The 18,037-nt window shown below is 39.2% G+C and overlaps 1 protein-coding gene across 23 annotated transcripts in view, besides 1 other annotated feature; it reads right to left on the reverse strand.

The window, feature by feature from the left end:
• EZH2 (enhancer of zeste 2 polycomb repressive complex 2 subunit) overlaps positions 1-18,037 on the reverse strand; it is a 76,909-nt gene that overhangs the window by 54,123 nt on the left and 4,749 nt on the right. Inside the window, exon 1 of one of the 23 annotated variants that reach the window (XM_047419991.1) lies at positions 6,788-6,903. The exons of the other annotated variants lie outside the window; for them this stretch is intronic. The gene's annotated coding sequence lies outside the window, so the exon portion shown is untranslated. Of the gene's footprint in view, positions 1-6,787; positions 6,904-18,037 lie in introns of those variants that run through there. 23 annotated transcript variants of the gene reach the window in all.
• Positions 2,592-2,886: a silencer, noted in NCBI's record as "tiled region #2848; K562 Repressive non-DNase unmatched - State 5:Enh". NCBI's record gives its function as "represses a minimal TATA promoter and a strong SV40 promoter by Sharpr-MPRA in K562 cells {active_cell/tissue: K562}" and the evidence as "EXISTENCE:reporter gene assay evidence [ECO:0000049][PMID:27701403]".

An 18,037-nucleotide genomic window follows, 5' to 3' on the forward strand; every position in this document is an offset into this window, starting at 1 on the left:
CATGAGCCACAGCGCCCGCCCTGTTCTATTATTTTATTGGCTTTTTTCCACAAGTATTTTTGATCTGCAGTTGTTGAATGCACAGAAGCTGAACCTGAAAATATGGAGGGCCAACTGTACCTAATATAAATAACACATTTTTAAAAAGAAACTTATTTTCCTTTAAAAAAAATTAGTGAGTGAGGGCAAGCGTGGTTGCTCATGCCTATAATCCTAGCACTTTGCGGGGCTGAGGCAGGAGGACCACTTGAGCCCAGGAGTTTCAGACCAGCCTGAGCAACATAGCCTTCTTTTATTTAAAAAAAAAAAAAAAAAATTAATTAGTAAGTGGTGCTTTACATTTTTGCCAATTTCTTTAATATCTGTCTAATAGGAAACGGATTCTCGTAACTGTTTCTGCATTCAATCTGTTCCAATATGTTGTTTTGGTTCAAGTATATGAAGAAAATCCAGTCTCAAACATACTTAGCTTAGAAAAGGGAGAGTGTTTGAATAGCCTTCTGAGGTCATTGTGGATCTCGTGCTTTGATATTACACCAAAACAGTTCTATTAAAAAGTGGCTAGTTCAGTTCACAACTCAATCTCACAGGTGCTTTTCCTCAAAATAACCACCATACTTCAGTTAGCAGTGGTAATTTCTTTCTTACAAGATTAGATGCAACATGGAATCCGAAATTGTATCAGTGAACTTTTCCTACTCTGCCACATTAACATTCATTAGTCTATTCACTTTAAATGAATCTTTAACTCAGGCACAATGTTATAAATCATCATTCCTCATCTAAAAAGTACTGGTCCACTGAGTTACGCAGATTTTCCAGAAGTTGGCATATTTCAAAAAATCATGTTGTTAAACCCATTAATCTCATCAGAAAGTCTTTAAGTACTGGGAAGCTGTCATGCTCACAGTAACAGACAAAAGTTTTCCAAAAATTTTAATTTTTGCTTGAAAGCCCAAATGTTCTCTCTGCCAACAAATATGGTCAGTTGTTTTCCTTGAAGTGACAGTCTCACTTCATTGATTTAAAAAAAGTCTGCCAAATACCTAAGTCTGAATAATCATGGTTTGTCAGACCCTCTTTTAAGTAAAAATGAAATTTCCATGAAAAAAGTGGCTAGTGGAGCTCACAACTTAATCACGTAAGTGCTTTTGCTCAAAACCCAACATACCTCAATATGCAGCAGAAGCACTTTACACACATTCCCATCTTGTTGCACAGAATGTTACAACTGCATGCACGCAAGGATCAAGATTTAATAAAATTAATCATTTTTAGTACTTCATCAAGGACATTCTCAAACAAAACTGGCTTTTTTAACTGCAAGTGCTAAGGTGCCAACAGTGTTTATTCATTGCTTTTGCACCGTGGGTACAAATGTCCAACATGGTTTTTTTGTTTGTTTTTGTTTTGTTTTGTTTTTTTAAAAAAAAGCAAGGAACAACTCAGTATTATTATGAAAATAGTTTCTGGGAGGTTGAGACACAAGAATCACTTGAACCTGGGAGGCAGAGGTTGCAGTGGGCCAAGATGTCGCCACTGCACTCCAGCCTGGATGACAGAGTGAGACCCTGTCTCAAAAAAAAAAAAAAAAGAAAGAAAGAAAGAAAAAATAGTTTTGATCCCATAATCCCAGGCCACACTTTGAGAACTGCTCCCCTTAAATATATCCAGACATCATACGAATCCGAAGTCATAATACCCTGCCTTTTCTTGACTCACAGAGAACCTAGAACAGACAATATATTCAAATTATATATTTCTAAAATTTATAATGAAACATAGAAATCACCACTCTTGCAACTAGAAAAAGGCAAACAAGAGTATATGTGAAGAATATTTAATGAAGGGTACTTTATTATACCTGTCAAACTACAGAATTTAAATGAAATAATCTGTCATATGTCAGTGCCAAATTAAGAGACTAATATCTACTAAAATTCGTTTAAACAAATTGCCTCTGTTTTCACTTATCTTCTCCTTCACCACTGTAAGATATCATCAGTAGTTACAGTCACCCTTCTGATCCTCCTGCAACCCTAAGACAACGCCATCCTACCAACCATCTCCCTAAATACTCACACCTCACCCTACCACCATAAAAGATAAAATAAAAATCTTGACCCAGGGACCTTTTTGCTTCCTTAAATGACTCTATTGTTTTTTCAAAAAAAGAAAAAAGAATGACAAAAACACACAAGCTCATTACTGTGAGGGACTCAAATAGTCCACTCAACTGACCTGCAAAGTGCTAGAAGAAACTTCTGTTGAAGGACTTGGGGAAAGGCAGGAACAAAGAGGTATTATCAAGCAGTCAATAATAATTTACTGAGCATTCCAAAAGTGTTAAATCCTGTGAGAGATCTATCGAAATGTGGAAAATACAACAGGTTTTAGTGCCTTCACTACAGTGGATTACATGTACATGAAAGTACAGATGAGAAAGCATAATGAACAGCATTCGCCTTCAAGAAGTCTCATGATAGGGGAAAATAACAGAAAAAAGTAAAGAACATATTTGTAGTCCTGGTTTCTGTAGTGCTAAAAAGTTCAAAGGCAAAGGAAAGTTATACTAATTTAGCAATCTTAGCTGAATGATAGAAAACATTAACTTGACCGTTGCAGCAAAAGTGAGTAGATTCTGCAGTGATATATTTTCCACAACAGTAAGATCACTTTCCTCCTTCCAGCAAGACAGTAAACTATTGATTTCAAACTGAAGTCCATAGACCAGCATTCTGGTGTTTATCTGAGAGTACTGCTTAGAAAAGAAATGGCCATATAAATTTCAACCAACTGAAGAACTGAACTATTTTAAGTGTTTTAAAGAATTTGCTTGAACAACAGATAAAACAGACTCACTAACTGAATTGACATCTAAAGGTTAAAGTTTTCAGCTGGGGGCCATGGCTCACACCTGTAATCCCAGCACTTTGGGAGGCTAAGGCAGGCAGATTGCCTGAGTCCAGGAGTTTGAGACCAGCCTGGACAATATGGTGAAACCCTGTCTCTACTAAAAATACAAATTAGCCAGGCGTGATGGCATGTGCCTATAGTCCAAGATACTCTGGAGGCTGAGGTGGGAGAACCAATCACCTGAGCCCAGGAGGCCAAGGCTGCAGTGAGCCAAGATTGTGCCACTGCACTCCAGCCTGGGCAATCACAGTGAGACTGTCTCAAAAAAAAAAAAAAAAGGAAAAAAAGAAAAAAAAAGTTTAAGTTTTTCTTGAAAACTATACTAAATCGATTTTATAAGTTAAATCTTCTCATTTCATCGAGTATATACTCAGTTTACAGAAACACTGTTGGAGGAAAAACGGAAAAAAATAGGTATCAGAGGCTGGGGCCAAGTGGCTCACGCCTGTAATCCTAGCACTTTGGGAGGCCAAGGCGGGCGAATCACCTGAGGTCAGGAGTTGGAGATCAGCCTGGCCAACACGGTAAAACCCCATCTCTACTAAAAATACAAAAATTAGCCGGGTATGGTGGCAGGTGCCTGTGATCTCAGCTATTTGGGAGTCTGAGGCAGGAGAATCGCTTGAACCTAGGAGGCAGAGGATGCGTTAAGCTGAGATCGCGCCACTGCTCTTCAGCCTGGGTGACAGAGCGAGACTTGTCTCAAAAAAAAAAAAAAAAAAGTACCAGAAACTAAAGCTATGATACAAAATTCATTATAATTCAAAGATGAGACATGAGATACCTGTTATTTCAACACTTCACTGAATAAAAGCAAACAAAATGAAGGGGTAAGTCAATCTGATACCAGGTGTTCTTTTTGCTAAGAAGTCTATTTTAAATCTTATACCACGCATAAGCCAACATCTAATTTAACTTACACAAATCTAACATACATTGAGCAAAAATGTCAGAGAAAGCTCAATTTTGGTAGTAAATACAAGGGTTCTACCCACCATTCCAGACACTAAGCGTTTGCCTAAGTGAGCAAGAGACAGGTGACATGAATCTGCTGTTCCCATAACCTGCTGGACAAGTCTCTCAGACTGAAGATATTTAGCCACTCAGGAGTGATTCTAACAGGATTGCCCTTAAGTACAAACCAACAACTCTGTGCTCAACAGAAGAGCAATGATCTGTTCTCATTCTAGAGGAAAAATGGGCTGGTCTTGAACCTAAAAAGAAGGTACTGGTTTGTGGTAAGGCATCTTCCCACAAACTCTGCATGGGTAACTTTGCCTACATGCTATTTTGCCTTGTACACTAACTTTATATCCTAATCCCCAAATAAGATGCAATTCCTTCTATATTCTGAAGACAGAATCATAAAATGGACTAGGTGGTTCAAACTACTAATCCCAAAGCATTTACAGAACCTCTCATAATTTCCAGGCAATCTAAACCAAGTAACCATTATCTAGTAATTTCAATTTTTGAGTTCTGTATATGCCACAGCCAGTTCTTTCAAGGAAGTACCAATGTCTGCAAAGTGCCATTTCTTTATTCTATGGCTATCAACAGAACCCCTCACTGAAGCAGACTCTTCAGAAACTCCTCTGGCTTATGTCGGCCCCACAGTTCATGATCTTGCTAAGAACAGTAGTAGTTTAGGGAAAGATAGAGGTAAACGAGGTACGGCAGTTATGAGCAGTAAGTCTTTCCATGATTTTCCTATACTTAAAATTTATCACAAATATAAACACACTGCCGGGGTACTACAAAATTTCAAACCCTTCAAGTACTATTTACTTAATAATTGATGAGACTTGTCAGTATCTGTGCTATGGTCTGAAGGTGTCCCTCAAAAACTCAGGTGTTGTCCATGTAACAGTATTAAGAGATGGGGCCTTTCAGAGGTGATTAGACCACGACGGTTCCTGCCTTGTGAATGCCCTTATACAAGAGTCTGACTGAGGGAGTTATTCCCAGCTTGCCCCTTCTATCTTCTGCTATAAGAGGACACAGTAAGAAAGCCTTCATGAGATGCAGGTACCTTGATCTTAAACTTCCCAGCCCCCAAAACTGTGAAAAATATATATACGTATATACATATATATGTGTATATACATATATATACGTATATACATATATATACATATATACATATATATACGTATATACATATATTGTATACACTATATATTATATATAATATATATGCATATATGTATATATACATATACATATACGTATATACGTATATGCATATATATGTACGTATATGCATATATATATACATATATGCATATATATATATATTTATTCCTTTTGTGAGACAGGGTCTCACTCTGTTGCCTGGGCTAGAGGGCAGTGGCGTAATTCTGTCTCACTGCAACCTCCACCTCCTGGGTTCAAGTGATTCTCCCACCTCAGCCTTCCAAGTAGCTGAGACTACAGGTGCACATCAACGCACCCGGCTAATTTTTATTTTTTGGTAGAGATGGGGTTTCACCATGTTGGCCAGGCTGGTCTCGAACTCCTAACCTCAAGTGATCCACCCGCCTCAGCCTCCCAAAGTGCTGGGATTACAGACGTGAGCCACTGTGCCTGGCCAACTTCTATTCTTTATAAATTACCCAGTCTTGGCCAGGCGTGGTGGCTCACGCCTGTAATCCCAGCACTTTGGGAAGCCGAGGCAGGCAGATAACCTGAGGGCAGGAGTTCAACACCAGCCTGGCCAACATGGTGAAACCCTGTCTCTACTAAAAATACAAAATTAGCTAGGCATGGTGGTAGGCAACTGTAATCCCAGCTACTCGGGAGGCTGAGGCAGGAGAATCACTTGAACCCAGGAGGCGGAGGTTGCAGTGGGCCGAGATCGCACCATTGTAGTCCAGCCTGGGCAAAAAGAGCAAAACTCCCATCTCAAAAATAAATAAATAAATAATTTTAAAAATTACCCAGTCTCAGATATTCCGTTATACCAGCACAAAACAGATGAAGACAATTTGTTTTACCGAAAGTTACCATCTGTTGATTACTATAACATTACTTATCAAAAGCCCAGAGAAACTGGTTTTCTGAGTCTCCACTGACCTATGGAAATGATACAAAGACATGACCAAGCACAGGGAAACCCATTATATAATTCCTACAGTTACCTTCCTGCTATTTCCAGATTAATACCAAGGCTTTTAGGGGAGGAAAAAGCATTTTACCCCATGTATCGTCCTCTTATGTAAATTTCTGCAGCCAGCTTGAATTTCTCCCCAGAAAGTGAGATTTTCTTTTCTACCACATGGCAGGCTGCAAATTTTCTAAACTTTTATGTTCTGCTTCCCTTTTAAATTTAAGTTCCAGTTTCAGGTCATTTATTTGCTTATGCAAATGAGCACAGGCTTTTAGAAGCAGCCAGGCCACTTCTTGAACACGTTGCTGCTTTTAGAAATTTCTTCCGCCAGATACCCTAAACATCTCAAGTTTAAAGTTCAACAGATCCCTAGAGCAGGAGCACAATGCTGCCAGTCTCTTTGCTAACACATAGCAAGAGTGACTTTTACTCCAGTTCCCCAATAAGTTCCTCATCTTCATCTGAGACTTCATCAGCCTAGCCATCTCTGTCCATATCACTATCAGCATTTTGGTCAAAACCATTCAACAAGTCTCTAGGAAGTTCCAAACATTCCCTTATCTTCCTGTCTTGTTCTGAGCCCTCCAAACTGTACCAACCTGTGCCCATTACTCAGTCCAAAAGCTGCATCCACATTTTCAGGTATCTTTATTGTGATGCCCCACTTCTGTGGTACATATTTTCTGTATTAGTCCATTCTCACATTGCTATAAAGAGCTGAGGGTGGGTAATTTATAAAGAAAAGAGGTTTAATTTGCTTACAGTTCAGCAGGCTATACAGGAAGCATGGCTGGGGAAGCCTCAGGAAACTTATCATCACAGTGGAAAGCAAAGGGGAAGCCAGCACATTATACGTGGCTGATGCAGGGGGAAGAGAGAGCAAAGTGGCAGGTGCTACATAATTTTAAACAACCAGATCTCACGAGAACTCACTGTCACGAGAACTCACTGTCAGGAGAACAGCAAGGGAAAAGTCTGCCCCCATGATTCAATCACTTCCCACCAGACCCCTCCTCCAACTTTGGGGATTACAATTTGACGCGTGATTTGGGTGGGGCCACAGAGCCAAACTATATCACCCTAGAACTTCCATATGGGAAAAGAAGAAAATGAGAGGGCCAGGATGAGTGGCTGACATTAAGAATCTATAGCCTCTAGGGTAGAAAAACATGACTTTTTTTTTGGTAGTCTAGATTTAAAAGTTGGTATTTCCATTAGTATAGAATGTCTCTTTCTAGAGAATAAGAGAATATCTCATTCTTTATTTGAATAGCCCTAATGGGTAAAAGACTAAGGCACCCAATAAGAAATTTGAAGAAATTTTCTTTTCTAGAAAATGTGTATAGTACAGCTGGCCAGTTACATGCTATTTGTAAATAACAAGTCATACTAGACAAATGGTAAAAAACAATTATTTCTTTAACTGCAAAGGTAAATTCTATAAGAAAAATTGGGTAAATTTGAACTTGCCAATTTAGATTTGATTGTTTATAAAGGTAATTTATTCAGATACATCATAGTCCATTATAGCAAAAGCTTTTAGGTGCTATTATGCCCATAGTGCAGAGACACAAGCAAGATAATAGGCTTATAATCAGCATTAGATGTTCTATGAATTGACCAACTTGATAAAGAATTTGGGAAAGATGCATATAACCACTGGATTAAATGCCAGCTAGGGAGAATCTTACCATCACCTGTGATGGTAATCAAACTCTCCAAAGAAATAGTTTGACCTGGGTAACAGAAACCAAGTGCTTAGAATCCTAGTATTTGCACTAAAAAGGACCCTATAGGCAGCAATAGCCTTTTTTTTTTTTTTTTTTTTTTTTGGAGACACAGTCTCACTCTGTCACACAGGCTGGAGTGCAGGGGTGCAAACACGGCTCACTGCAGTCTCTACCTTCTGGGCTCAAGCGACCCTCTCACCTCACTCTCCCATGCAGCTGGGACTACAGGCAAATGCCACCACATGTGGCTAATTTTTTGTAGAAATGGGGCCTCACTTTGTTGTCCAGGCTGGTCTTGAACTCCTGGGCTCAAGCAATCCTCCCACCTCAGCCGCTCAAAGTGCTGGGATTACTGGCGTGAGCCAATGCACTTGGCCATAAAAGCCCATTCTTCAAGGGCCCACTACCTGAGGGAACCTAGGCAAGTTATTTACTAATTACTTCATCTGCAAAATGAAGACATCCTCTCTGCAGGCACATACATGGTAGATACTCAGTAAACACAAGTTGTTCCATTATTTATTCATCTCATTCATGTCACCATGAAGAGGAGAGATCCACAAAAGCTACGTGCCAAGGAAATACAACTAGTATAATGGCAGAGCCTCGCCCAGAGCCTACCACTCTTTGTACAACATCAAGCTACTGGTGGGATGTAGCCCTCCAAAATATCTTCTTGGTCTGGCATGATGGCTCATGCCTGTAATCCCTGCACTCTGGGAGGCCAAGGTGAAAGGGTCACTTGAGCCCACGAGTTTGAGACCAGCCTGGGCAATGTGAGACCCTGTCTCTATTTTTCAAAAAGAATCTTCATAGCATAACTTGAGTTCTCTATTTCAGGCAAATATTCTCCAAAGAGGCAAAATTACTTAAGGAATTAAGTGGGGCAATTCAACACTTTCTTCCTCTACGCCAGTTCAAGCAACACTTCTGCCATCTACAGGGCCTGCTCAATTACTCTAGAAAAGTATTTCCCAACCTTTTCTGATCCATAAATAATTTTCGAAGTAGCCCAAAATGGGGTTTACAAATAAATTTGCCAATTTTGCTTGCATTATTAATTAATTTTAATATAACACGTTTTAGATCAGAATTTTATGAATAAGGATTGCACAGTTTTTTCCTATCATCAGCATACTGTTTAATAAGTATAAAGTTCTGGCCCAATGCAGTGGCTCATGCCTGTAATCCCAGCACCTGGGGACTCCAAGGTGGGAGATCACTTGATCCTAGGAGTTCTAGACCAGCCGGGGCAACATGGCGAAACCCCATCTCTACAAAAAAATACAAAAATTAGCTAGGGGTGGTGGTGCATACCTGTAATCCCAGATACCTGAGAGGCTGAGGTGGAGGATCACTTGAGCCCAGGAGGTCAAGGCTGCAGTGAGCCATCATCGTGCCACTGCACCTAGGTGACAGAGTGGGACTCTGTCTCAAAAAAAAAAAAAAAAGTATAAAGTTCATCTTATTACCAGCCAGGCCAACATGGTGAAACCCCGACTCTATAAAAATGCAAAAATTAGCCAGGTGTGGTGGTGCATACCTGTAATACCAACTACTCAGGAGGCTGAGGCAGGAGAATCACTTGAACCCAGGAGGCAGAGGCTGCAGTAAGCCAAGACTGCGCCACTGCATTCCAGCCTGGATGACACAGCGAGACCTTGTCTCAAAGAAAAAAAAAAAAAAGGTTCACCTTATTAGAATATTTTATAATAGTCATAAGGACAAATTCTCCTTTTCCCATTTAACAAATGATGCATGGTATTGAGTTTTACATAATTAAAATGCATGATTTTCAATAAATTCAAAAGTAAAATATTTGGGGTGAATAAACATGAAGGATACTCAACATTGTTAATGCAAATCAAAACCACAATGAGATAGCACCTCACACCCATTATGTTGGCCACTACCAAAAGAAACAGAAAATAACAAGTGTTGGCAAGGATGCAGAGACATCGAAACCTTTGTGCACTGTGGGTAGGACTGTAAAAATCGTGCAGCCATTATGGAAAACAGTACTGAGGTTACTCAAAACATTAAAATAGAACTACCATATGATCCAGCAATCACAATTCTGGATATACAGTCATCCCACAGCATATGCAGAAGAGTGGTTCCAAAAAATAAAAGACGAATAATTAAAAAAAAAAAAAAAAAAAAAAGAAGAGGAAGAATAAGACTGGTTCCAGGACCACCTGTATACATCCAAATTCACTCATACTCAAACCCCCAAATCTGACCTATGGAACCTGCATATACAAAAAGCCCACCCACCCTATACACAAGTTTCACATCCCACAAATAGTGTATTTTCTTTTTTTTTTTTTTTGAGCAGGGTCTTGTTCTGTTGCCCTGGCTGGAGTGCAATGGCATGAATAACAGCTCACTGCAGCCTCGACCTCCCAGGCTCAAGCAATCCTCCTGTCTCAGCCTCCTAAGTAGCTGAAACTACAGGCGCATGCCACCACACCTAGCTAACTTTTTTATTTTTTGTAGAGATGAGGTCTCACTATGTTGTCCAGGCTGGTCTCGAACTCCTGGCCTCAACTGATCCTCCCACCCCAGCCTCCCAAGTGCTGGGATTACAGGCATCAGCCACCACGCCCAGCCGAATAGTATATTTTCTATCTATGGCTGGTTGAAAAAAATCCACTTATAGATGGATCCACATAGTTCAAAGCTGTGTTGTTCAATGGGCAACCATATATCCAAAAGAATTCAAAGCAGGATCTCAAAGAGATATTTGTATACCAACATTTACTGCATATTACTCCTGGCTAACCATGAATAGTGAATCACCAAATCACCAAGCAACCCAAATGTCCACCAATAGATAAATGGATTTTAAAATGCAGTCTATACATACAACGAAATAGTATACAGCCTTTACAGAAAAGAAAAAAATTCTGTCACATGCTACAACATGGAAGAACCTCAATGACATTATGCTAAGCAAAATAAGCTAATCACAAAGGGGCAAATACTGTTTAATCCCATGCATGTAAGTATCTAAAACAGTCAAAAATCATGGAAACAGAAAGTAGAAAGGTGGCTGCCAAGAATTTGGGGGGAGGGGGAAGTGGGAATTAGTGCTCAATGGGTACAGAATTTCAGTTCTGCAAGACAAAAAAGTTCTAGAGATCTGTTGTGCAACAATGTGAATGTATTTAACACTACTGAACTGTACATTTTTAAATGGTAAACATGATTAATTTACTATGGGCTTTTTACAATTTTTAAAAAAAGTAAAATGTTTGATTTAGAAACTACATGTATATTAGGTACAGGTTAGGTTCTCAACAAATAGTAATTAGTTCTATTATGTGCAAGCATATCGTAGGAACTCATGTATCTACAAACAGAATATATGAAATTTCACTATAGGCTATGACATCAAAAAATACAAAAGCTGCTTTAATTATGATTGAAATTCTTCCACTGTTTAAAAATAATTAACTGTCTATTTTCTTAGATTTTTGTGATTTGTTAAAGCATTTCTCCGGTCTAGTCTTTAGTATCAAAAACTAAGAGACTAAAATAGATAAAGCAGTCATGACATACTGTCTTTTTGATACCTTTTTTTTTTTAAACTTCCTGAAGACATCTTGATATACTATGTATGAATTTAGCCCATATAAATGCAGCTGAGGGATAAAGATCACTGGGATCTGATTCAAGCCTATAATCCCAGCTTTGGGAGGACAAGGTGGCAGGCCACCCTGGGCAACATATAAGACCCCAACTCTACAAAAAATAAAAAATGTAAAAAATTAGCCAGACATCGTGTCTCACGTCTATAGTCCTAGCTACTTGGGAGGCTGAGATGGGAAGATCCCCTGAACCCAGGAGTCTGAGGATGTAGTGAGCTATGATCACGCCACTATACTCCAGCCTGGGCAACAGAGTGAAACTGTGTACAAAAAAGAAAAGAAAAAAGAAAAAAAGAGGCCGGGCATGGTGGCTCATGCCTGTAATCCTAGCACTTTGCAAGGCCAAGGCAGGCAGATCACCTGAGGTCAGGAGTTCAAGACCAGTCTGGCCAACATAGTGAAACCCCATCTCTACTAAAAATACAAAAACTAGCCGGGCGTAGTGGCGTGTGCCTGTAATCCCAGCTACCTGGGAGGCTGAAGCAGGAGAATCACTGGAACCTGGGAGGCAGAGACTGCAGTGAGCCAAGATCCTGCCACTGCACGCCAGCCTGGGTGACAGAGTGAGACTCTGTCTCAAAAAAAAAAAAAAAAAAAGAAAGATCATTGTAAGATCAGTTTGCAGAATCATTTCATGCTCTTCATTTTTTTTTTTTTTTTTTTTTTTTGCCTCAGAGTTTCTCAAGCTTTCTGACTTTGATCAACAGTCTACCAAGGATATACTTTAAAATTTTACAGTAATCAATATCATAACAGCAGCTAACAGTACACTGGGTGAGGATGGTACTTAAATAATTATTTATTGAGTTGCTTACAGAAGAGAGGTCTCCCAAGTCCCAAATCAACTTCACAAATATTTTATTAGTACTTACAATATACAAAAACCTTTTTCTAAGCTCTGCCCTACAGATTAATAAAAAGGAGCTTAAAATGAAGGGAAGGAGAGAGAAAAAAAAAAAGATTAATACACATGTTATGGTACTTCTAAGCAGGAAAGAAGCTGCTTAACTTGGTTGGGATGGGAGAGGGGTGGTTTCAAGCCAGAAGCTGAACAGCATGTTGAGATGCTAAAATAAGGAAGATATTCCAGAAAGAGGACAGGCACAGAATCTCCACGTGAAATTTCCTGTAGACTAGTAAGAAAATCAAGTGAGATCAACAGGAGAAAGATATAAGAAGAAAACTACCAGGGCCAGGCACAGCGGCTCATGCCTGTAATCCCAGCACTTTGGGAGGCCAAGATGGGAACATCGCTTGAGCTCAGGAATCTTGAGACCAACCTGGGCAACATAGTGAAACTCTGTCTCTAACAAAAATATAAAAAATTAGCTGGGCATGGTGGCATGTGCCTGTGGTCCCAGCTACTCAGGAGACTGATGTGGGAGGATTGTTTCAGCCCAGGAGGTGGAGGTTGCAGTAAGCCAAGATTGTGCCACTGAAATCCAGGCTGGGTGACAGAGCAAAACCCCGTCTCAAATAAAAAAGCAAAGAAAAAAAAAACACCTATCAGAGATAATACTAATTCAGAGAGTTTGGGCTGTTCTACAGACTACCTGGAATGCTACCTTCAGGAATTTCTTAACTTGAATCCACAGCCATGAGAAGACTGAGGTGGACAATGCCACGATCACCTACAGTGGTGGTAAACAACACCCAATGGAGGTCCAACAGCTTGCTTTATATATTTTTTTCTTTGTTAAACAGGAAAAGGAAAAGTTATGTATTACTTGAATATTGAAGAAAAACTAAAAATTTATTGTGGGGGCAATTCAGGTGTTGAGCAAAAGAACTGCTACTTTACAAAAATAAAATAGTGTATAGAAACCAAGTATATATAATCTGAAAAGCCATCCATTTCTATAATAAAAAAATTTACGGGAGGCTTAGGCAGGAGAACAGCGTGAACCCAGGAGGCAGAGCTTGCAGTGAGCCGAGATCGCGCCACCGCACTCCAGCCTGGGGGACAGAGCAAGACTCCGTCTCAAAAAAAAAAAAAAAAAATTTTACTTGATTGTCAAAGTAGGGAAACTAAGTTTGGCAATCATCATTTCTACATACCCCATTCTAAGATCAAGGTCACTTTTTACTTTTAATATTCTCATTTATCCTTTGAAGAAAAAATTTAAGGCTTAACTCACTAATAAATGAAAAGGTTTGAATTATGCAAAATGAAGAGAATTACTAAATACAATAATTTTCAAAACTAGTTTAATTAAAAAAAATTATCATCCATACACCTAACAGCATATGAATAATATCCTTTTAGTTTACAAGTTTCTGCAAATGCATAACATTTTGTTACACTAATTAAATGACTCGTGAATTAAGGACAATTTGTTTCACATAATTTATCTGATTATGCTTCCCATATTAAAGTTTTAACTTGATCTTTATAGTATTAAAAATACACAAAATCAAACAAAAATGAACAATAAAATATTTGCAACACAATCTGACAGATAATGTGACTATGTACCCAGAACATATAAAGACCTCTTGCCACTCAACCAGACAAACAATCCAATTTTTTAAAGGGACAAAAGGCTTGAACCAAAAAAAGTACACAAATGGCCAATAAGCATATGAAAAGATGTTCCAACATCATTGATCATCTGAGAAACACAAACCCACAATGAGATACTTAATACTCATTTGATGGCCAAAATTTAAAAGACTGGCAACACGAAGTGTCAATGAAAATGTGAAGAAACTGTAACTCCTGCACAGTTACAACTGTAACTTTCAATTTAAAATGGTACAACTATTTTGGAAAAGAGTTTAACGGTTTCTTACAAAGTAAAATCAATATTTACCACTAAAACATGTCCAGGAAAGACATACAAATGGTGATAGCAGCTTTATCAACAGCTGACAACAGTCCTATGTGTCCATCCATGGGTAAATGAATTTAAAAACTGTAGCACATGCCTACAATGGAATATTAATTCAGAGAGTTTACTACAAGTCAGGTGCCGCGGCTCATGCCTGTAATCCCAACACTTTGGGAGGCCAAGGCAGAATCATTTGAGCCCAGGAGTTGGAAACCATCCTGGGCGACACAGGAAAACCCCATCTCTACAAAAAAATATTAATAATAAATGTTAGCTGGGCATGGTGGTACATGCCTGTGGTCCTAGCTACTTGGGAGGCTGAGGTGAGAGGTTCGATTGAGCCCAGGAGGTCAAGGTTGCAGTGAGCTGAGATCTCGCCTAAAACTACAAAAATTAGCTGGGTGTGGTGGCAGACGCCTGTAATCCCAGCTACTCGGGAGACTGAGGCAGGAGAATTGCTTGAACCCAGGAGGCGGAGGTTGCAGTGAGCCGAGATCATGCCATTGCACTCCAGCCTGGGTGACAGAGCAAGACTCCATCTTGGAGGGAAAAAAAAAAAAGTTGAGAGAATGACTGTAAAAGAGGATGAAAGGACTCTGAGATGATGGCAACCATTATAGATCTTGATCCAGGCAGCGGTGCAGGTGCATACATTTGTCAAAACTCCTCAAATCATACCCTTCAAATGTGTGCTTTTTATTGTATGTAAATTATACTTCAATACAGTTGTTGTTTTAACTAAAAATTAATATAACTTGACAACACCTATTAAAACTAGAAATGTTCATAATCTTGAAAGAGCCAACTCTATAGAAAATTGTCACACAAATGTTCAAAGATACATAAGGATGTTCACTTCTTTTCAGGAGAGAAAACAATGTCAATCACAACAGATTGGTTTGCTGCGTAATGCACATTCATAAACTGGAATACTATGCACCCCCCTTACACCAAAGAGGTACAGCTGGATGGCTTAGAGCAAGGGGCAGCAAACTTTCTCTGTAAAGGGCCACATGGTAAGTATTTTAGGCTTGGCAGGCGGTATCTAGTCTCCCTTATATGTTCTTCAGGGAAGTGGGGTGGTATTGTTTTACAACTCTTTTAAAAGTGTTAACGTTTCCAGCTCACAGGCCTTACCAAAAATGATCCCTGGCTGGGAGATCAGGACTTTGAAGCTAACGTACCCAAATTAAAATCCTTCCTCTACCACTAACTAGTTGTTACTTAATCTCTCCATCTCTCGATATTATAGTATCTATATAAAATAATGACTTAGAAGAGTACCAAGCATATAGTGAGCCCTAAAGGAATATCAATTATTTTTTAATAAAACAGATCTTTGTATTGACCTTAAAAAAAAGCCATGTTAGAACCAAATAACTTGGTCCCATTTTTATAAAATGTATGTAAAAATACATATTCATATATGAATATATTTGAAAATTTGGGGAAGAATATACACCAAACCGTTAAAGGTAGCGAATGAGATAACAGGGATCAATACGCTTTCATTTTATAAATGTCTACATTGTTTCAGTAGTTTAAAGCGAACACATTTAATCAACAGACATTTCTAAATTGAAATAGATAAAACGTGTGGTACCATTTTTGTAACTTACCAGTCCTAAGCACGTAATTTTAACTTGAGAAGTGTTTGGTTCCATTAATGAGAAAGTACATCAACTCTAAAATAATATTGGCACAATAACTGAAAATCATTTATCAAACACTTTTTGCCAGGTACAGTTCTAAGGATTTCACATGTATCAATTCCTTTAATCCTCACAACCACCTTATCAGATGTTATCATTATCCTCACCAATTTACAGATAGGGATGCTAAGACATCAAGAGGATAACACCCCAGACACAAATTGGTAGCTCAGGGACTGGAACCCAAGAAACTGTCTCCAAAGACCACATCCTTAGAACTCTACTCTCCTCCCCTCTCAAATGCATACTATTACCACTCTGGCTGAGAAAGAAATCCTCAAAGTTAACCTTTAGTCTGTCTAGGGTTTCACACTGTACCTTCCATCAAACTACAATTACCTACTTTTAAATGTAACTTTCTGAATGATTCAAATAAACTCATTCTTCTCGGAGCTGACATATCTTTAATCACCCAGAAAGCCAGCAGATAACACAGAACAGATAATATGGAGTAGATAATATGTAGTGAAACAGAACTAAGTTTGGATCCCGAATGCAAATTCCCAGCTGAATAATCCTGGGCAAATTCTTAACTCCTCCCCTGTAGACAGTTTTCTTCAGTTTCCTCATCTGTAAAGGTTTTCGGAGTGTGTTATTAAATTTTGTATTCTGGTAAGATATATAGATATAGAGAGAGATATATATAGATACAGATACATATCGTGTAAAATTTACCATTTTAACCATTTTTAAGTGTACAATTCTGTGGCATTAAATATATTCAAAATATTGTTCAACCATCACTATTATCCATCTCCAGAATTTTTTCACCATTCCAAACAGAAACTCTGTATTCATTAAACTCCCCATTCACCTCTCCCCTCACAGCCCTGGTAACCTCTATTCTACTTTCTGTCTCCATAGAGTTGCCTCTTCTAACTACCTCATATAAATGAGATCATACAATTTTGTATTTTTGTACAAAAGGTTGTATCTGGCTTATTTCACTAAGCATAATATTCTCCAGCTCCATCCATGTATCAGAATTTCACTCCTTTTATGTCTGAATTATTTTGAAATCTTTTTACTTTTATTTTGAAATTTCACTCCTTTTACGTCTTTATTTCACTCCTTTTATGTTTTCATTGGTTTATATACCACATTTTGTTAATTCGCCTGTTGGCAGACACAAGGTGGTTCTTACAAATATTAAAAACAAAAGCTGGGTGCAGTGGGTCACACCTATAATCCCAGCACTTTGGGAGGCTGAGGTAGGTGGATCTCTTGAGTTCAGGAGTTCAAGACCAGCCTGGGCAACATGGCAAAACCCTGTCTCTACAAAAAATACAAAAATTAGCCAGGCGTGGTGGCATGCACTTGTAGTCCCAGCTACTTGGGAGGCTGAGATGGAAGGATCGCTTGAGCCCAGGAGGCAGAGGTTGCAGTGAACTGAGATCACGCATCTGCACTCCAGCCTGGGTGACAACAAGACCCTGTCTCCAAAAAAAAATTTTTAATTTAAAAATGTTTAAAAAGTATCCAGGCCAGGCGTGCGCAGTAGCTCACGCCTGTAATCCCAGCACTTTGGGAGGCCGAGGCAGGCGGATCATCTGAGGTCAGCAGTTCGAGACTAGCTTGGCCAACGTGGTGAAACCCCATCTCAACTAAAAATACAAAAATTAGCCAGGTGTGGTGGTGCGTTCCCGTAATCCCAGCTACTCGGGAGGCTGAGGTAGGAGAATCGCTTGAACCCAGGAGGCAGAGGTTGCAGTGAGCCGAGATCACGCCACTGCACTCCAGCCTGGGCAACAAGTGTGAGACTCCATATCAAAAAACAAAAACAAAAACAAAAAACAAAAACAAAAACAACACAGCAGGGTGTGGTGGCTCACACCTATAATCCCACCACTTTGGGAGGACGAGGCAGGTCAATCACTTGAGGTCAGGAGTTCCAGACCAGCCTGGCCAACACAGTGAAACCCAGTTTCTACTAAAATATAAAAATTATCGGAGGCTGGGCACAGTGACTGACGCCTGTAATCCTAGTACTTTGGGAGGCCAGGGCAGGTGGATCACCTGAGGTCGGGAGTTCGAGACCAGCCTGGCCAACATGGTGAAATCCCATCACTACTAAAAATACAAAAAT

This window comes from Homo sapiens, chromosome 7, assembly GCF_000001405.40.
Source record: "Homo sapiens chromosome 7, GRCh38.p14 Primary Assembly".
NCBI classification, from domain to species: Eukaryota; Metazoa; Chordata; class Mammalia; order Primates; family Hominidae; genus Homo; species Homo sapiens.